The following is a 27,173-nucleotide window of genomic DNA, read 5'->3' as shown; positions in this document are numbered from 1 at the left end:
CAATATCAAACACATGCACATCTAATAGTTACAGATAAATTTCTGAGGTGATGTTTAGACAGACTACATAAACCAGAAATATCTCATGTACTTTTGCATAATCAGCAAGGATAGGATTGAGATTCAGTGAGGGAGGTAAGAGAGTAGAAGGAAGTAGATTAGCACCAATAATTATTTAAGCAATTTCACTTACAAATGAAATACTCCTGAGGCTTAGTGTCACTGTAGTAGTCATATCAATGATAAAAATAACCATACAAATTGAATACAAACGGTTTGTGATGTTTTATCTTCAATTAAGTATCAAAATAGGCAGAATTTTAATGCCTTTATAGTATTAATTTATATTTCTAACATTTAAATTACATTTATTTCTGTACATCCTTTCTTTTAATTATTTTGACTTAATTTGCCACTCCCCTATTTTTTTTAAATTCAGCAATAAACAAGGAAACAAATTATTCATGCTGACTTGCGTTGCTTTGTAATCATCTTTAATGTAATAAAACTGTCCTCTGAGACAAAAAGACTAAAGTAGGTTCTTATTTCTTTATTTATAAATATTAATATATGATAGATTTTTGTGCAACAAGACCATTTACTGATATATTCTGGGCTTCCTGAGACACTGAAAAAGAAATATTTGTAAATTCCTCACTGTATTTGTTTTATTCAGGGATTTAGTCTGCTCAATATCCTCAAAGAGAGGTTACTTAAAAAAAAGTTGGCTGTCATTCTGTGTTAATTCGCTTAAATTACTTTTTAAAATACTGTTTTGTAAAGTCCTTGATTTTTCAAAAGCATAATTTATCCTTTTAGAAGTTTCAATTTAATCACAAAAGGATGTAAAATTATTTAGTTTACATTATAGAAGACTTATTTTTTCATACAAAAGATTCCAACACTTGTGTTTCACTTACTCTAAAACAGAGCCAGTCATGCCATACAATATCAGCACTCATCCCTTATCAGCACTCCTTATCTCTCTTAAGCACTAAATATTTTTTTAAATAAATAAACTGTGAAGTTCCCAAAGTTTGATGAGAAATTTAGTGAGTAGACTGATCTTTTTTTCTACCAAATGGGAGCTATTTTGAAGTTGCCTGCGACTTTTGAGGGTGAAAGTATTTGGAGTTAGTTTTTTAAAGTTTTATAAGAATGATATCTTCAGTATTGGTACTTTGAATTCGTCAAGGCTTTATTTTCTCATATTTCCAATGGTAGCTAGATGATTTTTAAATACTTACTATGATTCCCTGGAACCAAGAGGGATACATGAACTCTCATGAGGCTTCAAGGAATCATTTGTTAAGTTACATTTCATGGGCAGTAAATAAAAACCTAAAATGTGTACGAATTAATTCCCTTCAAATGTGCATGCTCTTGTATCTCAGGGATTACTGTGGTCATACGGTTCGATTCAGGAGTAAGACTTTGTGAAATAGCATTGGTCTCGATGGAGCACCCCATTAACTTATAAAAAGTGTTGCTCTACAAATAGACTGTTTGATTTAAGTTACACCAATTATTAGAAGCTTTGTCTGTTGAAGACAGGCTCATCAATCAAGTATTAAACACAAAAATAATGAAAAAAAGAGCATGAGAAGAGGGAAAACATTGAGAAAACCTTTACACTGTAAGCACTAGTCTATGTAACCAACAGCACTATGTATAAGCACCAGTCTGTGTAACCAATCATTTCTCAATTACTGCTTCATAGAATGGGCCTTAATACAAATGGCTTATTCTGTAATAACTCATTTCTTTTGTCAAACATTGAGGGAATTGAAAAGCAAACAAATGGAGGGATATAATTCAGATTATGAATTCATTCATTCCACAAATACTTGTGGAATGCCTACTATATTCCAGGTATTGTCATAAGTGCTGAAAAAACTTGTTTTATCTATCTGCATTCATATATTGATACATGTCTAATTATTCCCTTAAATTAGGCCACTTATTTACAGGGAAGAGGATATTCACTCCATTCCTGTCTCCCCTTAAAAAAATATAGTAACTTTTTTCCACTGGGCTAAAAATATGACTTACATGTGTAGCATTTTATTTTTCTCCTTAACCATTATTACTAGATAGGCAGCAGCATGTGCCAACTTCTTGTACAAAAAAGCCTCCTCAAAATAACCTTGACTATGATGGCTTGCAATTACAAAACAATATTTTTAGTTTTCTTCTCCTTGGGTACATTTAAAGTTTGTACAAGTGATTGTTTTGAAAAGCTAAATAGAACAAAACAAAATTTGTACAAAATGGTGCATTCTTAACCTAACTGTTTAATTCGTACTAATTATCTCGTGCTAAAAGAAATGATGAGCAAAAGTACAGGATTGAAAAACTACTCTGGTGTTTACATTCAAATAGAGAATATCTTTCCTTCATGTTTTTGCTTTGATTTTCACCAACGGAATTTAAGGTGTTTTTTACAACAGTTTATCAAAGCCCTAAACATATATATTTTATCTGTTCTTAGGCATATTTTAATTTCTTCTTTTCTTTATACTGGCTAGCTTTTGAAAAATAGTAATAGTTTAAATACATTGTTCCAAAAATATATTAAATGCTTTTATTTGATAATTTTTACATTATAGATACCTGTCTATATTGAATCAAAGCATTTGTAAAGAATGCAGGCTAACACTGATACTTCAGGTTTATAAATTTACCTGAAAACTGGTAATGGGTAAAAACAAATGGAGAGTATATATGATAAATAATTACCAATATAAACATTTTAAATTTTATTTGTAGTTTCATAGTTTTCATATATGTTAATAATCACAATAATGTAAAGCAAGTTGGCTCAGAAAAATGAAAAATAATATTCGTTTTTAGTTTTCCATTTGTCAATCTAAATGCAGAATATATCTTGAAAGTATTCCAAAATTTTGATACATATATCAATATGATGTGCACATATTTTTTATCAGATTTAAGCTTTTACATATTATAGAAATTTTTTTGCAGTCAGTAATTAATAACGGTTTTAAGCAAGTGATGTTCATCACGGCATTGTTTACGCATGTAAAAATGTTAAAAATCATATAAATTAGATTCAATAGCAAACTGTTTAGATAAATTATAATATGTCAACACGGGAATAGAATACTATGCAGTCACTAAGATGATGATAGAGATTGATATTTATTGTCAGGAAAAGATGATTATTGTTCAGTTTAAAATTAAAAATACAGAACAGTACATATAGTGTGGATTTTTGGTCAAAATGTTTGTGTATACGTAGGAAAAATTATGAAAAGATATTTACACATTGAAAATATTAATTGTGGTATTTCTGAACTGTGGAAATTTTACTTCCTTCTGCCTTGTGTACATTTTTTACAATGAGCATGTCTTATGTTTATAATCAATATAAACAGTGATTTCCATTTTGAAAATATTTGCAAATGGATAAACCTGTAATTTGTAGATAAACAAATACATAGAAACAGCTTATTGTCATTATTTTATGGTCAAAGAGCTAACAAAAGTGTTAACAAAGTTATATATTTACATTGTACTATGTATGAAAATGAAGATTTGTATATAAGGTAATAAAACTGACAGTAGAGATAAAACATATTCTAATGTTGAATCTGTGGCATAAGTGAATCATATTATAAAAAAGTAATTATTTAAATTTTACATAAATTAGGTATTTTCTTCTTCCTAAAAGGACTTGAACTGGTATATATTTTTAAAAAGGTAATACAAAAAATAGAAAAATAAGTGTAATATGAATGGAAGGCAGGCAATGAGGAGAACAGGAAACTGCAAGTGAAATGTAGAGAATCTCCAATTTAGAAATTACAGGCTAATAAATGTAACGGCAATATTGAACAAACCTTTTTTTTTTTTAATTTTCAAGCAGCCAAGACATAAAGAAAACCATATTGGTTTCACAGTTCTCATATAATGGCTGGAGGCATATGACTTAATCCAAGAGACAACCTATTCCTTACCTTTGAAACACCTGTGAATATTATCAAAAGGACACACACAATAATTTACAAGAGATAACAAGTTTAATAGAAGGTGTTCTTCGAAGAAGTTTTTCAACATCATTCTGTGGAGTACTGCCTTTTATATTGACAGTTGATAAAACCCGAAGGTAAAATATTAAATTATTTATAGGTAAAGGCAATTCAGCGCAGTTATTCATCTTTCTTGTTAATTTAACATGATCCAAGTATATGTACTAAGGAATTTAGAAAAATGAATGGTAGGAGTGGTACTGAAAGTATCCTCACATACCAAATCTCTTAGGAAAGGTTTTTAAGATGCAATTCCTACTTTAAATAGCCACTGCCTAAAGTGTTAATTTTCTCAGTGACTAATTGAGAAAACACCAATATGCTTACTTCTTTGGGCAAGAAGTTAATACGACCACTCCCAACATTTAGTCAAAAGTACTATCAAATCTGTAGCATGTTCACAACATATTAAAAAATGAAACAAGAATACAAATAAAGAAAATAAAATACATTTCACATTTTTTGAAAAAACATTCATTTTTGCATAATAATTTTAAGTGAAATTATGCAGATGTTAATTGCATCACATATGTTTTCCCCTGCTGTACTGACTTCTCAAAAACAAGTTAGAACTTTTCACTGTGATAGATTCAGAAGAACCATGTTGACATTTTCATGAAAAAAAATAGAGTATTACTGAAATAAGAAGGGAAATATACTCAATCAATTGCCTCACCTTGACTGTTCAGGAAAAAAAAGTGGAGGAATACACTTTATTCTACAGATTTCTAAGGATATTACATCAAAAAAAGTACAAAATGACAATTTTACAGTTAGAAATTATGTTCTATTCTAAAATGAATAAAGTTTTCTAGTTTTGCATTTTTTTTTCAAAAGAATTCACTTCAAAAAAAAACTTGTGAATTAGCATAAAATAACCCCTTATCACAAAGGAGCCCAAACTAAGGAGGCACCAACTAAGGCTGAAACAAACTGAGCATTCTTATTCTCAGCACCTGCGCCTGGCCTGGCCCAGGGTGACATGCAGGGGCTTGGAGCCCACTATGCGGCCATTCATCTCATCCACTGCTTTGGTAGCCTCTTCAAAAGAGGAAAAGCAGACCACACCAAATCCTTTGCCTTGCCCCACTTCCATCATCACTTTGGCCCGACTAATTGACCCAAAGGAAGAAAATTCCTCCTTCAGTTTTTCATCATTGATTGTCTCATCCAAGTTCTTAATATAGATAGGCACCCCTGGGGGCCGACTTTTTTCTTTTAACCTCAGCCGTTCAAATCTCCGCCTCAACTCAGCCAGGCGTTCAATTTTCTTCTGTGCTCGCCCTACATAGAGGACTTTTCCATCGATGGACTTTCCATGCAAGTCTAGCACAGCCTTTTGGGCAGCCTCGTGTGTCTCATATCTCACAAATCCAAAGCCTTTAGATTTCCCACTGGCATCTCTTATTACTTTAACACTCTCAGTTGGCCCATATTCACAGAAAAGTTCCTTCAGTTTTTCGTCATCTATGTCGTCTCCAATGTTTTTAACGAAAACATTGGTGAAAGTTGCTCTATCCCTGGTTCTGACCTCAGCCGCCCGCTCTTCTGGGAATTTGAATCTGCCAACATACACCTGGCGGTTGTTGAGCCGCACTCCATTCATGTGCCAGATGGCTCTATTGGCAGCGGCCAGGCTGTCAAAGTGAACATAGGCATAACCCTTAGAGCCGTTGTCATCGCATACGACTTTGCAGGACAGAATGTTCCCAAAAGCAGAAAATAAGTAAAACAGGGCCCTATTGTCTATGGATTTGTCCAGGTTTTTGATGAATATATTTCCCACTCCAGACTTTCTTAAGCGGTCATCTGGCTGAGACCACATAAGGCGGAATGGTTTTCCATTAATCAAATCAAAATTCATGGTGTTCAAGGCCCACTCTGCATCCGCGGGAAAGCGGAAGTTAACATACCCATAGCCCAGGGGGCTGCGGGTCACCGGATCACGGCAGATTCGGGTGAATCGCAGAGGGCCAGCAGGCCTGAACTTCTTATAGAGCATGTCCTCGGTGACATCTGGGTCCAAGTCACCCACGTACAGAGCGGCCTTGAGATACTTCTTTTTCTTGCCAGCAGGATTAGGCTCCCCGCTCCCCATCTCTCTGAGCACTGGGAGGAGGTTCTCTTTGAAGAGAAAAAAGGCTGCTTTCTCTAAGCTATGGGCCAAACAGCTGTTCACGAACAGAAAAAGCCAAGGCAGGCAAAAGGAAGCTAAAAGCAGACTCAGAATCACTGTCGAGGCTGAGAAAATGAAGTTCAGAAACAGCTGGTCAGCAGGCTCAGAACAAACACATCAGACAAAAAGGCGCCCCAAATACGAATCTATTCTCCCTGCGGGGACTTAAAATTGTCACCCGTTCAGATTTAAAATCAGTTTCAAAAGCCAGTACCAGAAACGTAATTTTCCTGTCCCCGTGAAATTGTGAGAAGCCACCAAGCAGCTGGCTGGTTCCCCACAACTAGCATTGCAGACAGAGGCCTCCCGACCCGCTTTCTGCATAAATATAGGCCTAGAGCTCCTGTTGGTTTAAAATGATATCAACAAGGGCAGGGACCGAGCGCGTATTCCTCCGCCGGCTGCCTGGCCAGTCTCGGGCTGGCTAGCCTTTCGCTAAGGCCTCTCCGCACTCAGCGTCTGCGAAAGGGTACACCAGACACTTGGTGCGATAAGACCGGCAGGCAGGCTGCAGGCAGCGGATAGGACACAGAGACAGACAGACAGACACACGCGCGGGGGATCGAAGACCGCCCAGATACCCAAGATGCCCACTGGGTACGGACCGAGTGAGGCGCGGTGATTTCAGCAGCCTGAGGCTCGAGGCAGGTCCGGAGAGACTGACTGGCAAACGCGCAGTGAGTGGGTCAGCTCTGACGCGAGGCGGGTCTGGCCAGATGCGGGGCGGAGTCAGCGAAGAAGGGCAGATGCGCGGCGGGCGGTCCCAGCGCAGACCGATGGGCTGGGGTTTCTCTCCGCAGGACAGTCCAACGGAGGGACCAAGAGCCAGTAGCAGTGATAGGGAGGGGGGACAGGCGGGGCGCGAGAAACCCGGAACCGTGCTAAGTAACTTCCCGCTTCCTCTGTACCAAGATTTAAAAAAAAAGAGAGAGAGAGAAGGGGGGAGAGAGAGAGAGAGAGAGAGAGAGAGAGAGAAGGGGAGAGAATGAGAGAGAGAGAGAGAAGGAGAGAAAGAAAAATCTAAGATGGCTTTTAGATGTTTCTTATATTTTAAATGTTATTTATTATTTAAAACACTATATTTAAGCCGAACATCTAAAAATCACATAAGAAGATGACGACCTGGGCAAAAATAATAAGTTTTAAAAAACTAATTATCAAAATCATTTAAGCTTAGGGAAAAGGATAGGTTGCATACTTTCCTGAGTGCATTGGAAAGTCAAAGTTTACAAATGTCCTGGCCTCCCAATCCAGTGCTAAAGGATCACAGGGTCAAGTAGAACACAGGACCATGTTGCCTTTGGCCTTTAGCCTTACTTCATTAATCTCCAACATAATGGTAATATTTTCCTCAGGTGGTAGGCAAAGAGATCTTTTCTCTGATCCCATAATACTAAGGTTTTAATGATTGGAGAGCCATATAATGGCTTTTGATGGTGTTTAGTGCCACAAAACGTTGAAACTGTTGAGCTGCCGCGAGAATTACAGTTACAAAATCTCAGTTAAAGAGATAAAAGCCACAGAATCAATACAAAATATGTAATTAATATTTACAGATGAAATAAACATGTTAAGATATATGCACTTTACACAATTATGAATTTCATCATGAGTTGTCAACTTGAAACCCTTGAAGGAAACAGTGCCATCAGACTGGACTCAACTCAGCAGTTTCTCAACAATATCTCTCTTCAGAGTATTTGAGAAACCCTTTTGGAGAGAAATTTTGACCGTGTTTTCAGAAATTCACTGATATCTAGCATGCGCAAACAACACTTCAAGAGGCTCCTTCCACAATTCCTACCCCTCCAGAAAAATCCAAACAAAACATCTATCACTACTCTTAGGCTGGAAAAGATCCTGGGAAAAAAAGATTGCAAGAGAAGGACATTACCTTAGTGGGTGTTTTCCTAATAAGTCCTCAGAATAAGAGGCTAAATTAACGTATTCATTCACTTTATACATTTTATAGTGTCTATTAGACTGTAGAGTTGACATTAAACCTCATTATTTACTCAAAAACTTAGTAATTTTCTTTACTATTTTTTTTTTTTGCTTGCTTTCTAGTGTTCTTGGTTAACTAAGACATGGAGATTTTGAGAAAAGGCAAATATGAACAATGATATTATAGACTAATAAATGGGTTTTACAGTGTGACCAGAGTGACCAACATGTGGAAACACTTGTGAACATCTGCCTAGTTTATTGCATTTTGAATATATTTTTATAAACATATTTTCTTTTATGCGTAATTAACAATGGGTTAGAATTCTAGTCTGTTTTGGACTTTTCTCATTTTTAAAACTGCCTTATTGAAAATAGTAAAATAACAACATAAATCCAATTTCCACAATCTCATCATTGATTCAAATCAATATTTTCATCTGTTCCTGTAACCAACTAAATGTTGTCCATATTCAAATTTATTTGTACATATTTTCTCTAAGATTATAGTTAGAATTGATTTGTTATAATACACGTTTTCAAAATAATCACTTCTCTACACTTACCACTTCCATTCAACATAGTACTGGAAACCTTAGGCAGAGCAATTAGGCCAGAGAAGGAAATAAAAGCATCAAAATCAGAAAGAAAAAAGTAAATTAATCTTTGTTTGCAGATGGCATAATCTTATCTGTAGAAAACCCTAAAGTCTAATATTTTTTAAATCTCCATACTATCCAAACTGATCAATATAATCCCTATCAAAAGCCCAATGGCATTTTTTTTTTACAGAAATAGAAAAAACAACCTAAAATTCATTTGTAGTCACAAAAAAACCCTGAATAACCAAAGCAATCTGAGAACGAAGAAAAAAGCTGGAGACACCATTCTTCCTGATTTCAAAACATGTTACAAAGCTACAGTAATTACAACACTGTAGCACTGTCATAAAAAACAGACATATAGGCCAATGAGGCAGAATAAAGAGCCCAGAAATAAACCCACACATGTACAGTTAAGTGGTCTTTGACAAAGGTGCCAAGAAAACACAATAAAGAAAGGATTGTCTCTTTCACAAATAGTGTTAAAAACTTGGATATACGTAAAATTGGATCCTTATCTTACACTGTACACAAAAATCAACTCAAAATACAGACTTTCAACCTGATCCGAAACTATAAAATTTTAGAAGAAAACAGGGTAAGAGCTTCTTGACATTAGTCTTACCAATGACTTCTTGTATATGACACCAAAACACAAGCAAAAAAAAAAAAAAAAGAATATAGAAAAAGAGTACATCAAATTAAAAGGCTTCTGCACAGCAAAATAAACAATCAACAGTGTAAAGGTAGCTTACAGAATGGGAGAAAATTTTTGTAAAACAAGTATTTGATAAGGGGCTATCGTCCCCAAATAAAAGGAACTTTTACAACTTAATGGCAAAAACAAACAAAGAAACAACTTGAATAGTCATCTCTCAAAAGAAGGAATATAAATGGCTAATGGGTAAATGAAAAGATGCTCAACATCATAATCATCATTGGAATGCAAATCAAACCCTTAATGAGATGTCGTCTCACATCTGTAGAGATGGCTATTATAAAAAATCAAAACATAACAAATGTTGGCCAGTATGTGGAAGAATTGGAATCCATTACCTTTGGTGGGAATGTAAAGTGGTACAACTGCTATGGTAAACAGTATGGAGGTTCTTCAAAAACTTAAAAGTAGAAATTCCATATGAAGCAGCAATCCTACTAGGATTGCTAAATCCTTACAAGGTAACATGTAACCTTACTCCTGCAATCTGCCAACATTCATGCTCTCTACCCCTCCCCACACACAACTAATTGAGTTAATATGTATCCAAGTTCTACTGGATAGTAGTCACATATATTTAGGTATATATCCAAAGTAATTGAAATCAGAATCTCAGAGATATTTGCACTCCCGTGTTAATTACAGCATTATTTACCATAGCTAAGTCTTGGAAATGACATAAATGTCCATTGATGGTTGAATGCATAAAGAAAATGTGGTATAAACATACAATGGAATATTATTCAGCCTAAAAAAAAAGAAATCCTGCAGCATGTGGCAACAGGGATGGGATGGAGCTCAAGAACATTATGTGAAGTGAAATAAGCCAATCACGGAAGGGCAAATAGTGCATGATTCCATGTCAATGACATATTTAGAATAGTTAGACTCATGGAAACAGAGAGTAGAGTGGTGGTTGGGAGCGACTGCTGGAGGGGAACTGGGGAATTCAGTGGACATAAAGTTTTGGTTACACAAGATGAACAAGTTCTAGAGAGCTGCTGTACAACATTGTGCCTATATTTAAAAATACTGTATTGTGCTCTTAAAAAGTTTGTTAGAAGGGTTGATCGCATGTTAAGTGTTCTTAGTACAATTTTTTAAAAAAATCATTCAACTGTGAAGAAATATGAGTATTAAAAAACATATAATAAAAATAATATAACAACTTTAAATATATTTTGAGTTAGTTTGGCATCTCCTCAGGGTGATTTTTTATTTTAAAATATTTAATGGACAAAGATCGTATATATTCAAGATGTACAATGTGATGATTTGCTATATGTATGCATTGTATAATGATGACTAAAATCAGATTGATTAACACATCTTAGAGTGCCCTTTTAATTAGATATTATTAGTTTAAAATAAATACTTAGAATAGTACATGTGAATTTAAGCAGTTACTATGTATTCAGAATCCAGTGTATTTAGAGATTTATATATAATTAAGCTATTTTCTGTTATGATACATTGAAACAAGGTAGGCGATCGTTGCCTGCTTAGCAGATAGTCTCAGACAAATTTCTGTTTCTTTGCTAGTGCTTGTTAACTGAACACGTCTCATATAGGGAAAATATATATTTAGCACATTCTCTGATTAGAAATCTTGATTTGTAGTCCTTTCACTTGACCTAGAAGAATAAATAAAAGAATAATAATTTTAAAAGATGTGAACATTATGCTTTATTTTAAATTTTAAAATTGTTGTAAAATACATGTAACAAAATTTACCATCTTGATGATTTTTAAGTGTTTAAGCGGTATTAGGAACATTCATATTGTTGTGTAACCATCACCATTATCTATCTCCAGAACTCTTTTTATCTTGTTAAACTGAAACTCTATACCTATTAACCTGTGCTTTTAGATGACATTTAAAATATATTAAACCGTTTCTCTATTGTTGGACATTAAAGCTGCTTTTAGTTATTTTAGTATTATAACAAACAATGCTATAATAAACATCCACATTGCGTAATTTTATATATTATTGATTCTATTAACTAGATTCTCAGAAGTGGGGATTGCAAAATTAAGTGGTATGTATATTATGAAATGTTATTATATACTGTCAGACTTGTTTCAAATATGCTGTAGCAATTTATCTATTTTGCCAAAAACATGAAAAATTGGAGGAACTTGGAATTTCTAGCAAAATAGAAATTACCAAATTTCATTGAAAGGAAAAAAGAACAATAGCCTTAGAAAAAAATGACAGAATGATTACACATATGCTACTAATAAAACGAACAGGAACAGGTGATTTTATAGTTGAGTACTGTTATATAACCTTTGAGAAAACATAAGGCATGGTGGCTCACTCCTGTAATCCCAGCACTTTGGGAGGCCGAGGCAGAAGAATTGCTTGAGCCCAGGAGTTCAACAGCAGCAGCCTGTTGAACATGGAAAGACCCCAGCTAATTAAACAATTAGCTGGGTGTGATGGCAGGCACCTGTGTTAGCAGCTACTCAGTGAAGTGAGAGTATCGCTTGAGCCCAGGAGGCAGAGGCTGCAGCAAGCCATGTTCATGCCACTACACTCCAGCCTAGGCAACAGAGCAAGACCCTGTCTCAAAAAAAAAAAAAAGAAAAGAAAAAGAAAGAGAGAAAATACATGTACAGCCAATGGCATTCCAACCATAAAAATGCATATTCAACCATAAAAGCTCCTGAATCATTTTTATAACATTATCTCTGAGTGAGTAGTCACATAAACTTAGCCCATGTTTTCAAAGCAGACTAGTGTATATATTCATGGTCAGTCCATTTACCAGTAAAACTTGGATATATATGGACTCAATTAGGTGTGTGCAGGGCAGGGTAGAGAGCGTGAGAATTGCAGATTGCAGGAGAGGGTTACACGTTAGCTTGTAAGGATTAAGAAAGGAATATGTGGCAGGAAGCTAATTGAAGACTTCTGGTTTAGAACGTCAGACCAAACCAAACCATCTTCCAAATACTGACCATCATATATTAACATTTTGTCCTCATTTGTGGAATGTCTGTTCAAAAATATAAAACATGGAGAACACTTCTCCGCAAATGAGGAAAAGTTAAAATTGTAACAAGCAGATGATTGAGGAAAAGCCTCTGCCTTTCCTTACATAAAACTGCGTATGTAAAACAATACATTATTATTTAATCAATTTCAATGGAAAAATCGTAGAGTTTCTTTCTCTTAAAGCATCCTGTGTCCCCAAATCTCTGCCTTGTGTTTATCAACATACTAAGTAATAAGGCAATTCCTGTGAAAGCTGATGGGACTCCCCTTTTATAGTTCTCAGTCATCCACATTAATCCACATAATAGAAAACAGGAACTGCGTTCCCATTTTCTTCTGAGAGTGATCACTATTTTTCTGCTTTTTTACATATAACAGCAGTTATATCAATTGCACATTATATTTAAAGGGTAAAATATCTTCATTTTCCATTTGGTCTTTTAATTCCTTAGTACTTCTTCTTTGCCACTGTCTAAAATATGCTCTTAAAAAGTTTTTTTATTATAAAATTTCCTTTCCATATATTTCATTTTGGGGGTGAGGTGGCATAAAAATATTTTACCCTTATAAAATGTAATGAATATTTCTACTATTATTTTATTAATATTATACATTTACTTCCTTACTTTGTCCTTTAAACCTAATTCCTGTGCAATATCAGAGAGTGTAAATGACAATACTAGAATCTGACAATGTGAAAACTCAAAGAAACTCCAAGGCTTAAAGTAAACTAATGCATCTGATCCGAGAAGAAACACACATTCTAATTACTTTGATTTTTCTCAATAAAGAATCATCGGTAATACTTACCTTTGGTTTATATTATAATCAAAATAAGTATTTGTTGACTTGGAGCAATACTTAAGCTCTAGCACATTTCCATTAGAAATACAGTTTAAAAATTTATATATACATATAATATAGATATATATATATTTCTCCAAAAATGTTGAATTTCTTTGGGAATTAGAAATGAAGTTTATAACCTGAGATGCACAGCTATGCCAAGTCATGCATGCATTTGAAGAGGCAGAGTAAAGGGAAGCTGATATTGGCAAAAAAATAAGTTCACATAAGCTGCTTGGAAATAGAGTTCATTGGTTTTGGAGAATCGAAGACAGAGTTGGCGTAAGTTCACTGGTGGAAACGTCACTACTGGAAAGGTGTTCTTTTAATAGCATCTTATATGAATTATTACAGTATTGAAGAAATAATTTCTTTGAGGGTTATTTTATTTTTTAAAACTTTTTGTTTCCATAGGTTTTTCGGGAACAGGTGGTATTTGGTTCCATGAGTAAGTTCTTTAGTGGTGATTTGTGAGATTTTGCTGCAGCCATCACCCCGGAAGTATGCACTGAACACAATTTGTAGCCTTTTAGCTCTCACCCGCCTCCCACCCTTTCCCCGGAGTCCCCAAAGTCCGTTGTATCATTCTTATGCCTTTGCATCCTGATAGCTTAGCTCCCACTTCTGAGTGAGAACATGCGATGTTTACTTTTCCATTCCTGAGTTACTTCACCTAGAATAATAGTCTCCAGTTCTATCCAGGTTGCTGCAAATGTCATTAATTCATTTCTTTTTATGGCTGAGTAGTATTCCATCATATAGATATATACATATGTGTGTGTGGCACAATATCTTTATCCACTTGTTGATTGATGGGCATTTGGGCTGGTTCCATATTTTTGTAATTGTAAATTGTGCTGCTATAAACATGCATGTGCAAGTATCTTTTTCGTATAATGACTTCTTTTCCTCTGGGTAGATACCCAGTAGTGGGATTGGTGGATCAAATGGTAGTTCTACTTTTAATTCTTTAAGGAATCTCCACACTGTTTTCCATGGTGGTTGTACTAGTTTACATTCCCACCAGCAATGTAGAAGTGTTCTCATTTCACTGCGTCCATGCCAATGTCTATTATTTTTTGATTTTTTCATTATGGCCATTCTTGCAGGAGTAAGGTGGTGTCACATTGTGGTTTTGATTTGCATTTCCCTGGTCATTAGTGATACTGAGCATGTTTTCGTACGTTTGTTGGCCATTTGTATATCTTCTTTTGAGAATTGTCTGTTTATATCTTTAGGGACTTTTTGATGGGATGGTTTGTTTTTTTTTTTTCTTGCTGATTTGAGTTCCTTGTAGATTGTGGATATTAGTCCTTTGTTGGATGTATAGATTGTGAAGATTTTCTCCCACTCTGTGGGTTGTCTGTTTACTCTGCTGACTGGTCCTTTTGCTGTGCAGAAACCATTCTAGACATTGGCTTAGGCAAAGACTTCATGACCAAGAACTCAAAAGCAAATGCAACAAAAACAAAGATAAATAGGTAGGAATTAATATTAAAATTAGATTTAAATTTAAATAGAAGAGACAAACCTGCCTCAAAAAAAATCAAAGGATATAAGAGGTCCTGGTATAGTTACTGTTGATTGAAGTGTCCTGATTGTGGCTCAAATTTTTTATCCTTATTTCTTTTCATGGTTGTTAAAGTCTTAATTCTAGACTTTGGTTGCTGAAATAGCCTTGAAACTGATTTACTATTAAGACAAAAAAATCATTCATTAATAATGTGGGGACATTTGTTTTGGTTAATTTGTTGACGTACCTGTGGCTCCAATAACACTGAAATAACCTTTAAAATGTTTGGATACATTATCATCAACTTAAGTGAGCTCTCTGTTTCAGTTTGACTGCTAGGTATTTCACGTTTGCTTCAACTCTTCCCCCCTCACCAACACGACATGTATTTTTCTTCACATAATTATTTATAGATCTTATTTCATTTTCATGACACTCAATATATGATGATATTAAGGTGCATTTTAAGATATATGTGATCATTTTAAGATCTATTTGCAGTCCACTTACTTATATAAAGTATATTTATTAAGGGACCCCTATGTGTCAGGCACTATGCTTGGCCTAAGGGATAGAATGTTGAACAAGATAGACATGGTTTCTGCCATACGTAGTAGTTTTTACATTCTAGAGGGGGGAATATAATTAAAAAAACATAAGAAATAAGTGAATTTTAGTTTATGACATGCTTACAGGAAGCATGGTGCTAGCATCTGCTCAGTTTTTAGGGAGACCTCAGGCAGCTTTTATTCAAGGTGGAAGGTGAAATAGGAGCAGACACTTCTCATGGTGATAACAGGTACAAGATGAGGGCAGGGTGCCACACTTTTCAACAATCAGATCTTGCAACTCATTATCCAGATCTTGCAACTCATCAATTAAGATTGAGGAGGCGGAATAAAAATGGAAGATAAAAATCAAAAGAAAGAAGGACAATGAATAGAAAACAGTAAAAAATGTTGCAGATATTAACCAAATTATATCAGTAATCACCTTAAACATCAATGATCTAAATACAGCAATTAAAAGACAGAGACTGTCAGAGTGGATTATAAAAGACCCAACTGTGTGTTGTCTTAAAAAAAAAAAACTATTTTCAATATAAAGACACATCTAGATTAAAAGTAAAGGGATAAAGAAAGTGAGTGGCTATATCAATTTCAGAGAGAGTAGACTTCAGAGCAAGAAAAATTGTCAAGGATAAAGAGGACTGTTACCTAGTGATAAAAAAGTCAATTATTCAAAGAGACATAATAATATTTAATGAATGTGTCTAAAAACCGTGTCAATATAGATGTGGCAAAACTAATAGAAATGCAAAGAGAACAATACTAATCTACTATTATATTGGAATACTTCAACACCCCTCTGTCAGAAATGAACAGATCCAGCCAGAAGATTATCAGGAAAGATACAGTTGAACTTAACAACATTATCAATCAATTGGATCTAATAGACACCTATAGGATATTTTACCCAGCAACAGGAGAAAACACATTATCCTCAAGCTTACACGAATTCAACAAGATAGACCTTATTCTAGGCCACACAACACACTAAACCAAATTTAAAAGAATATAAATTATAAATGTGTGCTCTCAGAGCACAATGGAAATAATTAGAAACCAACAACAGAAAGATAGCTGGAAAACCACAAAATACATAAAAATTAAGCAACACACTAATAAGTAAGACACATGGCTACGAAAAAGTCTCAAGAGAAATTTAAAAATACTTTGAACTAAATGAAAATGAAAATAAAACTTATCAAAAATCATGTGATGCCACAAAACTAGTGCTTACAGGGAAATCTATAGCAGTGAATTAATATGAATTTATATATTAAAAAGAAGAAAGATCTGAAATGAGTAATCTAAGCTTCCACCTCATGAAACTAGAAAAAGAGAAAATTGAATCCAAAGTAAGCGGAAGAAATAATATAACACATATTTACAATAAATGCAACTCTAGTTTCAAATAACGCTATGCCACTTTGGAAGCAGTACAAATACCCTCTAATGAAGTATTGCTAATTTCTCCTTCCCATTCCTCTATAATAACTGTCATTCATTTAACTTATCTATAGCTATAATAATTGTATACATTGTTGCTATTATTATTTTGAACAAACTTATTTGTTAGATCATTAAAAATAAGAAATATGTTTTATTTTACCTTCATTTATTCATTTACTAATGTTCTCATTTTCTTTATTTAGGTCCAAGTTTCTGACCTATGTGATTTTCCTTATCTTTAGATAAATATTTTTAACCTTTCTTGCCAGGTAGTCTTACTGGCAGCAATTGCATCAATTTTTGTTTGTCTGGAAGAGTCTTTATTTGTCCTTCACTTTTGAACATTAATTTGGCTAGATGGATAATTCAAGCTGGTGGGGTGTTTTCAAGACTTTAAATATTTTATTGTACCTTCTTGTTGTTAGCAGCTTTTTTTTTAGAAAAAAAAGAGGAAAGTTTATTGAAATTTCAAGCTACATTTGAAAAATCAAAACCCAAATCCTGGAAACATACATCAGGATAATGTGTCAGAAACTATCACACACTCCCTGTATTGGTCCTTTCTCATGCTGCTATGAAGAAATACCGGAGACTTCATCATTTATGGAGAAAAGAGGTTTTAACTGGCTCACAGTTCCACATGGCTTAGAAAATGCCCCAAGAAACTTACAGTCATGGTGGAAGTCATCTCTTCACAGGGCAGCAAGAGAGAGAATGAGTGCCAAGTGGAGGGGGAAGCACTTTATAAAACCATCAGATCTCGTGAGAACTCACTCACTATCACCAGAACAGCATAGGGAAAACCATCCCCATGAGTCAATTATCTTCACCTGGTCCCGCCCTTGACACGGGGATTATTACAATTCAAGGTGAGATTTGGGTAGGGACACAGAATCAAAGCATATCACTCTCCTACAGACAAGCTCCCTGTGTACACCTCCCAGGCTCCATTTGATTAAAGCCATTCCCTTGTCCATCCCTCATCCACAGTAGGACACCCTCCTTCTTTTCATTTGTAAGTTTTCCACATAATTATTTATTTATTTTTAAATAATTAAAAAAAATTTAAATGACACTGTGAAATGCAAACTGGTCCGTTAACCCCATTCTATGAAGTCAGCATCAGTGAATGGTGGGTATGGCATTCAAATGACTTCATGTGTCTCCAGTGGACAGCTGGGGAAAGGATTGCAGCAGTAAGGCATCTGTGGCTGCATTCAGAGGCTGGCACCCTCCCTGCCTTTACTTATGAGTCTTACTTAACCTAAAGGAGAAACTGCATCAATATGGTAAATGAACACAGTCAAAAGACTGAGCCTTAAGAGATAAGGTACCAGTCAATACTCCCAAAGCTGTTTAGGCCCTTCAACGTGTAGGTGGATGAGTGTATGTATATATCACTACACTAAGATACAGATCTAGCCCTATGGGTGTGTGTGTGTGTTTGTGTGTGTGTGTGTGTGCATGCATTTGTGACTTTAAGAAAAACTATGCCAATACTAACCAAGCAGAACTTTGTAAGCAGTTATCCTAAAGCTGTAATCTCACACTGCACTGTGTACAAAACCATGCTTTATACCATATTAACCAACAGAAGGCTGACTTGGCTCAATCTGTCCCATCTGTGTCCTCTGCTTTCACAAAGCAGAGGAGAAAAGGGAGGCTGCCTCTGCTTAAAACACAAGTGACTTATTCCTAGGAACAGTTATTGTCAGGTGAAATTGCTGAAGATGTCCATGGAATAAGAAACAGGCCCCTTATACTTTCTGGAGAAAACTGGTATCACATCTCAAACTACCCTTCCTCTTTGCCAGTTGCAACTAAGTTGCCCAGTCCCTGGGAGGCCCCAGGGTTCAGTAGCATTAGAGGCTCATTGGCTTTGAGTTACTAGACCCCATGCAAATCAGCCTCCAGAGATCTACTCTTTGCTGGGGATCTGTCACTAGAGTGGACCCAGGTGGCCATGTCCTTTTTTCTTTTCTTTTTTTTTTTTTTTGACAGAGTCTTGCTCTGTCGCCCAGGCTGGAGTGCAATGGCACAATCTCGGCTCACTGCAGCCTCCACCTACCAGGTTCAAGCAATTCTCATGCCTCAGCCTCCCGAGTAGCTGGTATTACAGGTGTGTGCCACCACGCCCAGCTAATTTTTGTAGTTTTTTAGTAGAGATGGGGTTTCACCAAGTTGGCCAAGCTGGTGGTTCTGTCCTCAGAGTGAGCAAAGCCACCAAACTTATTTTACCTAGTTCTTTCCAGTTTGTTTTTGTCTCCCCAAGCATCATCTCATGAGAAGTTGACACCTTGCATAGCTGGTGTAACCACTTACACTGCAGAACCACCAAGGGCCTCAGGCACTTGGGATTCTGGAGCTTCCTCTTTAGGGCTCAGACCAGACTGGAACTTCTCCAGCTGCTCTGGGCTCGCCAGGGTTTTCAAGAGGGTGTTGTTGCACTCCAGCTAGGAGTTCATCTCCATCAGCTCTAGTATCTGCTCCTTCAGAATCTCCACCTCTTCTCTCACAGCATGCATCAGATGATTCTTCATCACATCCAGGGATCCGTGGCTTGCTCTATCTTGTTGTCTACGGCCACCGTGCTGGCTCTGGAGGCACTGACTTTAAAGCTAGCTAGGAAGTCCTTCTGGGCTGGGAAGCTTGCAGCCTTCTCCAAAGCAGTGCATGGTGGACAGCCAGAAGCCTGCCCCACCCTGCACAGCCCTGCACAGCCCTGCACAGCCCAGCCCACCTTCCCTCTGATTCTGGCTACCTCTGTGGCTGCAGCAGCTGGTTCTGACGGCACAGGCTGCAATTTAAAAAAAGAAGTCCAGTATAATTCTTATCCTTGTTGCTTTCTAGTTACGGTATTTTTGTCCCTTATGACCTGTTTCAAGATTCTTTCCGTCTTTGATTTTCTTTATATAATTTTCCCAGGTGTAGACTTTTTGACATTTATACTGCTCTGTGTGCTCTGAAATTCCTGTAACTGTGGTTCGTGTCTGACATTAATCCTAGTAGATTCTTGGTCATTATTGCTTCAAGTATTTCTCCTGTTCCTTTCTCATTTTCTTCTTTTCCCAGTATTCTCATTACATATATGTTATACCCTTTGTAGTAATCTCACATTTCTGTTCTATTTTTTTTCTGTATTTTTGTTCTTTGCATTTCAGTTTGTGAAATTTCTATTGATGCTATCTTCCAGTTCACTGTTTCCTTCATGGGCCATGTTCAATTTACTAATGAGCCTGTCAAAGGTATTCTTCTTTTTTGTTACAGTGTTTTTTATTTCTAGCGTTTCTTTGTATTCTTTCTTAAAATTTCCATATCATGGCTTACATTATCCATCTGTTCTTGCATGTTGACTTTTTTTCATTAGAATATTTGGCTTATTAAATCAGTTATTTTTAATTTTCTACCAGATAGTCTTCAAATCTGTGTCATATCTGAATCCAGATCTTATATTTGCTCTGTCTCTTCAAATTGTGTGGTCTTTTACTATCCTTTGTAATTTTTTGTTGGAAGGAAGTCATGATATATTGGATAACTGTGGTACATAGGTCTTTACTGATGTATTGCTAGAATGTGGGTGGAAGGAGAATCATTATATTGCCCTATGGTTTGACCTCAGCCTTTTAGTGAGCCTGTTTCCCTGAGCTATGACCTTTGTAAGTGCTTCTCATCTTTCCTCCACCACCTAGGTGATGCAGGGATTCCAGATATTGCTGGAGTTGAATATTTTCCTTCCAGGTGGGTTAGCCTCTGGTAAAACCCCAAGTGGATACAGCTTTGACAAAATAGTCTTTCTTGAGGGCAGGCCTTGTGAAAAACTGAATGCTCTCAGAGTATTTCCTAATGGCTACTTTTCCTCTCCTCCTGCTGAAATAACTAAGACATTTTTCTCTGATGTTCACTGTGAGAACCTAGTTATCTCTTGGCAGTAAAGCTTACAAAAATGTGAAAGCATCTCCAAGACTACCCCCACCTTGGAGCTTTTAACTCTCAAACTTTTTTCACACAAATCCTCCAGAAATGTATTAATTACTGTTTAGATTTTTCTACTCTGGATTGGTTAACATGGGGATTTCTGTGTGTGCATTTCTTCTTCAATAAGTTGTTATTCTATCTGCTTATCTTCCTCTCCAATTTTGGGGACAGTGGTTTACCCTGTGCCCTAGGTTCTCTGATGAATCAATAATATGGTGTTGAATTTCAGTTTGTTCAGCTTTTGTTGTTGTTGTGTGGACAGGACTGTTGACCTCCACATTCTTTACATGATGAGCTGGAAACTGGAAAGTCCCTTTATGAACATTTCAAGTGGGAAAGTTTTCTGGGAACTTTTTGTCTCTGTATTGACATGTTAGTAATTCTTTTTATTTATTTATTTATTTATTTTTTTTGAGATGGAGTTTCTTTCTTGTCGCCCAGGCTGGAGTGCAGTGGCACAATCTTGGCTCACTGAGACCTCTGCCTCCCAGGTTCAAGCAGTTCTCCTGCCTCAGCCTCCCTAGTAGATGAGATTACAAGCGCTTGCCACCATACCTGGCTAATTTTTGGATTTTTAGTAGAGACAGGGTTTCTCCATGTTGGTCAGGCTTGCCTCGAACTCCTGACCTCAGGTGATCTGCCTGCCTCAGCCTCCCAAAGTGCTAGGATTACAGGCGTGAGCCACCGCGCCCGGCAGTAATTCTTATAACAAGATTTTCTTTCATTTATGAGTGGAAGCTGACATGATGTTAGTCCTTGGGAGAAATTAATAGTCCTGTGCATCTTGAGTCAGAATAAAAGTTCACTTCAGAGAAAAAAACCTAACTATATAAAAACAGGGAAATAGGTAAAGACAAATACCAAAGTGATAAGTTTAGTTGTTTATCCAACAAGTTGCCTTTTATCATGTTGACAGCTATAGTATTTTTGTTTTTGTGGTTGGAAAACTGGAGTATCAATTAAGATGCTTTCAGCCCCATGTATTAGAATACCAGACTAAAATGGAATTAAACCCTAGAGGTTTATTACTTTCACATAAAGAATACCAGAGAGAGATGGTTCAGGTGTTGGTTAAGTGTCTTCTTTTATTCTCTCAGGCTTCCCCTTGAGGGATCTCATCCTCACATACTTATAACTGAAGCCCCAGGAATCTCATGCTGACAGACTATATATTTGATTCAGGCAAGGGCAAGGCAGAACATTTGCCTAGTTTATCACTCCTAATCATGGAAGAAAACCTTTCTCTGAAGTCACATCCCAGCACAGAAGATTTCTTCTTGGATTCTATTGGCCTCAGTTGGTTTTCAGGCTCAAACCCGAGTGAAGAATCAGATATAAACATTAGGGCACCATGAAAATCCAGGATGTTTATGTCTGTTTCTGAGAAAGAATACGAGAATAGTGTTTATAATATTATTTTTCGGAATAAAATGGCCTATTAAGAAAAAATATTTTACTTCTACATGAAATTTAGCATTTCAACATTGAAGTTGCTTATTATATGCATATTGTAAATGTATCCACCAAATGTTAAGCTTTTCTCATATAATTTAATTTTTATCTGCTACCAATTCTTCAATACCTGAAGAAGAGAACTATCTTAACCATGAATTTTTTGTTGAGTTAATTTCTTAGTTTAAACTGTTATCACTTGTGAAATTTATAACTACAGAAGAGCAGTATGTGAGAGACAGAGTAAAAATAGACATGTGAAGTCTGTTGTATTCGATCTAGCCGTAACATAATTATTTTGCAATGAAAGGTATAGTTCTGAATTTACTGGAACTACTTAATTCTTTTCCGTTGTAATTCAGGATAATAAACTACTTGAAAACATATGATGAAACTGAAGGACGTAGTTCCTTTTTTACTTTAATAATTGGATTCAGGTTAATTGCTCTTATTTTACATTGAAATGAATAGTTTGGTTAGGTCAGAGCTTAATAAAACATGTGAATGAAGTTACGTGGTATAAAATCATAGTTTTCTTATTTTTTCTGATGTGTTTCAGATAGAGTGATTAACCATCCCTGTTAATGTGGAACAGAGAGGTTTCCTGGGATACTGGACTTTCAGTGGTAAAAGTTGGAAAGTCTAAGGTAAGCCCAGAGGAATTGATCACTCTAGCTTCAGAGTGTCTTAAAGCTTGGAAGTATGTATTTTGGATTAGAATTCATGAATGAATTTTAGGCAGTTGGCAAATAAATGTATTTCATGGGGAGTCATCTTTCTGTCATCCTTAATATAAAACTCTTTGTTTTCTAATTTGGCTTTCTTAGTAAATTATTTGGCTTCTTTAATAGTTTCTGTAGTCACATCTTATTATTCTTTTGGTCTTTGCCTCTCATTTAAAAATAATTCTGATAATAATTAAGTTACAACATAGTATATAATATTTATTAAAAGTGTGGACTTTGTGAGAAGCATAACTTAGAAACAGAATCCATTGACTGTGAGTTTAACATATTGCATTGTGTTTTCATCTACAGCTGGCTGGCAAAATGTAATAATGTGAAAGAAGAAAACTCTAGGAAGAAACTTCAACAGTAAAATGAAATGTCTGTTGATTTAGAGTTTAATATTTATTTAATACAATATCCCCCCAGATCCACAATATTTTACTGGCAAAATTAGTCCTGACCCTTCCTGAAACTGTTTGACAATGAGAAGTTTCTGGTAATGCATAGTAGTATGTTTTAAGATAATATTTAGCTAGTGGCACATTGCACCTCCTGTTATAATTAAGGTATTTTTTGTGTTAAATACATAATTTTAAAATGTTTGCTATGATAAATATAATGTTCTGTTACAGGTTTTCTATGGTAAGTCTTCAGCATTGACTACATTGAGAATTCTTGGAAAATATGTTTCAAATTTAAAAAACTTAATGTACTCAAAGTTCTTGCGTAACACTCCTTTTACTTATATTGTAGCTACTTAGTGTGGGTCTTTTACTTGCTTTCAATTTATTTATTTATTTAACAAATATTCACTATGGGCCAAGCACTATAATAGTAAACAAGTGATAGTGATGAACAAAACAAACACATTCCCTGTTTTCCATGGTGGTTTTCAAAGTCTTTTTATAAAATAAAACAATATTTCTCTGCCTTTCAGTGCTAGTTATTTCAAATCCTTTTAGAAATTAGATAAGGTGTAATCAAATAACAAATTTTAGTTGAATTAGATTAATGTTAATTTATGCAAAGCTTCTCACATAATTATTGTACTGGTGGGAAGAATTTTTAAGCCAGCCGAGGTTAACCGTGCAATCAATTCCCATGAAGATAACGAAAGGTAATTGGACTCTGAGCAGTTGAACAAAACTAAGTTATAATGCAAGTTATGTTTTCATTTATATATGAACCTCATATTTAGTCACTTCCAAGAGAAACTGCTGTGGGGTCATTGATGGTTCCTCCTCTTCTTTACCATCCATGGACTACCCAATACCTATGTCCTTTTCTTTTTTTTTTTTTTAATGGACTGCAGCCTGGGACATACTCCCAAGTTTCCTTGGGAGCGCTCCTTCCTATGTCTTAATTAAATTTATTTCTACTTCTTAATACATTTTCCATCATTTTTTCTATCTTTGTATTAGCTCAGATACTTATAATCTCTCACATGGTTTAGTGGAGCGCTCATATATTTAGTCTTCTTACCTCCAGGATTCTCTGTTCTCATCCCATCATTTACATTGGCACAAGAATAATCTAAATGTAGTGTAAATAGAGTTATTTGTTTACAGAATAGAATGTAAATGTAAAATTTGTAGACTAGAATCTAAAAGTAAAATGTAAATACAATTTTGTTCATCTCTTGCTTGAACGTCTTCTATGGCTCCAAATATTTTCACTATAAGGATAAATTAGTCATTGCAAACAAAGTCCTTCATGACCTGATCAGTTAACCTTGTTTGCTTCATTCCCCACTGCTCTTTACCGCATACCATATACAGCTGCTTCATTGAAATAGTCTCTTCACCATTCATGCCATTTTCGTGTCATGCACTTTTATACTTGTGTGTTGCTCCCACTGTCTAGCATGTCTTTCTCTCTTTTTCTACCTTATCAACTGCTACTCACTTTTCAAAATTCCTTCTCTGAAACATACTGTTATTTCCTGATAGAGATAGTCTCAGTCCCTCATTTGATTTCCCATAGCATATTACACAAATGTTTACTATAGAACTTGCCACATTTCATCATCACTTTACCTATCTTTCCGACTCTGCTACTAGTTTCTTAAGACCAGACGCTGTCTTAAGAAACTTTGAAACTCCATCCCCTATCATAGAGATTAGCTAGTTAACTATCTAGTTAATATATGTCTTGCACTAATACTGTCTTAGTGTCTAAGACATAGCAATATGTCTTAATCATCAAAAAAGCTAAATTGCTTATTCAGAATAACTTGAATAAATTATAGATTGCTTACTTGTTAGAAAATATAAGTGATTTTACCATTTGGACACTTTGAAAATACTGAAATTATTTGCAAGGAAGATATTTAGAAGAGGACAGGTGCAATAGTGCTGCTCTGCAACTTATGAGAGCTTAGACAAGCTAGTTAACCTTTGTAATCTTCATATTACTATGTTTCATGGAGATAAAATAGCATATACCTTATGGAGTTTGTTAAGGAAAAACCTAAGACAAGTTAAATTCAACAAAGTTTATTTGAGCAAGCAGTAGCTTCTAGAACCAGGCAGCATTCTGGACCAAAGATTATTCAGAATGCTCCCACCCCCAACGTGGTGAGCTATATTTACAACAGAAAACAGAAAATGACATATAGGGATTACTTGATTGGCACAGTTTGCATTTGCCTTATTTGGGAATAATTTAGCAGCTTTCAGCAGCTTTTAGCAGCTTTCAGACCTTCAGCTGAAGGTCCGGCTACTATACTTGACTGAGACACTGTTGCTTCATTACAAGGGCGTACTACTATGTATGCTGACAACTTGTTTACACATCAAGCTAGGCCACAGTTCATTATGTAAAAATGCCCTTTTAAACCATACTTAATTTAACAATTCCCCCCATTTGGTCATCCTCTCACCCGAGAGAGATTGACCAAAGCCATAGGCATGGGGAGTTACACCATCCTCTGCAGCCTTCACAATCAATCTTCTGGATCCAGCAATTGTCAAGAATTTACAATTTCACGATGTAAAATAAGTTAGCTGACTCTTATGTTTTATGTTTTTGTTATTCCAACTGTAATGAGACCATTCAATGCACAGAAGACAGCTGTATATGGGTATTTAAAATTTTTGAGTGAATACAACACAATTCAATGCCAAGAAACTGAAACTCACCTTCCAGCAGGAGTCTCCATGAATTAACTAATCAAAATTGAACAACTGAAAGTTCAGGCACTAGGTGTAATTCATTAGTGTTTGAGTCCCATTGGTCATACTCCTTGTTTGGAATATGATGGAGAACAAGGCCCATAGCATGCTGCAAGATTGCGTGATCTAAAGAGGTATTGAATTTTGTGGTTAGTCTGGTGACACAATTCACAGTGATCTGGAGGTCCATTAACAGAAATGTAAATATTAGAAAACCTTAGAGCAGCCAAGCTTGCCATCCATTTGTCAGAGGGTAGCCTCTATGCATCTGAATCCCTGAGAGGTTTGGCCACAAATTCCAAATTTTTTCCCACTATATGAATTAGCTTTACATTTCATACAACTGACACCTCAATACTGCCAAAAGTTAGGCATCAGAAACATGATGGGAACCTTTCCTCATTGAAAACAAATTTGTCCATATTCATTTCAACATGGATACTAATTTTGATTATTTTCCTTTTTGATTTCTGATTATAGAAAATACTAAGAGGATTTTCAGGAAACGCTGTTTGGAAGGCAGAAGGGAGACGGGACAAATAGCAAGATTTTAAAGTGAAGAGGCCGGCCCAATATAGGCCCTCGGGAGCTGGAAAGGAAGGCCACCTAGTGGCGTTTGAGCGAAGGTCAGTTATATCTACTCAGTCAATAATCATAGTTCCTGAATAAAATACAAAAAGAAATTTGCTCTTAGGTGGCCCCTCTGTTGTATACTGTAGGTGTGCATAACCACACCTATTGGTGAGTAGTGTTATATAAGCAGTTACTTGTACCCACATAGGTAGTTCCTGGGTCTCTAATATTTGATGCCAGAAGGCACAGTATACCTTGTAAAAGGCATCACCCAGAGAGGATTTTTTTTAAAGTTCCTGGTAGCAATTAGGCTATTGATTGAAAAGGTAAGAGTACTACTTCTATAGATCATAGGAAAGCAATAAGTAGTGATGTTTAACATATCAGGGATAACTTTTCACT

At 35.6% G+C, this 27,173-nt stretch overlaps 1 protein-coding gene, 1 long non-coding RNA gene and 2 pseudogenes across 2 annotated transcripts; 1 reads left to right on the top strand and 3 right to left on the bottom strand.

Moving 5' to 3' along the window:
- On the bottom strand, positions 3,144-6,889 carry PABPC5 (poly(A) binding protein cytoplasmic 5). The gene is made up of 2 exons (NM_080832.3): positions 6,834-6,889; positions 3,144-6,293 (listed from the first exon to the last, which is right to left on the bottom strand). Exon 2 carries the CDS (start codon positions 6,148-6,150, stop codon positions 5,002-5,004), a length of 1,149 nt encoding a protein of 382 aa, NP_543022.1. The 5' UTR covers positions 6,151-6,293; positions 6,834-6,889; the 3' UTR covers positions 3,144-5,001.
- Positions 6,729-26,825, top strand: PABPC5-AS1 (PABPC5 antisense RNA 1). Its single transcript, NR_110659.1, has 4 exons — positions 6,729-6,825; positions 22,857-22,944; positions 23,335-23,403; positions 26,679-26,825. It is a non-coding gene; the product is annotated as a PABPC5 antisense RNA 1 (long non-coding RNA).
- Positions 17,312-18,841, bottom strand: LOC100287033 (TSC22 domain family member 3 pseudogene; annotated as a pseudogene).
- Positions 19,189-24,284, bottom strand: LOC107985643 (TSC22 domain family protein 3-like; annotated as a pseudogene).
- Positions 26,826-27,173: the final 348 nt, after the last annotated feature.

Source organism: Homo sapiens, chromosome X (assembly GCF_000001405.40).
Source record: "Homo sapiens chromosome X, GRCh38.p14 Primary Assembly".
NCBI lineage: Eukaryota > Metazoa > Chordata > Mammalia > Primates > Hominidae > Homo > Homo sapiens.
This window is presented reverse-complemented; position numbering and strand designations above follow the sequence as displayed.

What these genes read in the sequence shown, in the direction of transcription:
- PABPC5 (NM_080832.3), bottom strand. Translation starts at nt 6,150, where the DNA reads ATGGGGAGCGGGGAGCCTAATCCTGCTGGCAAGAAAAAGAAGTATCTC.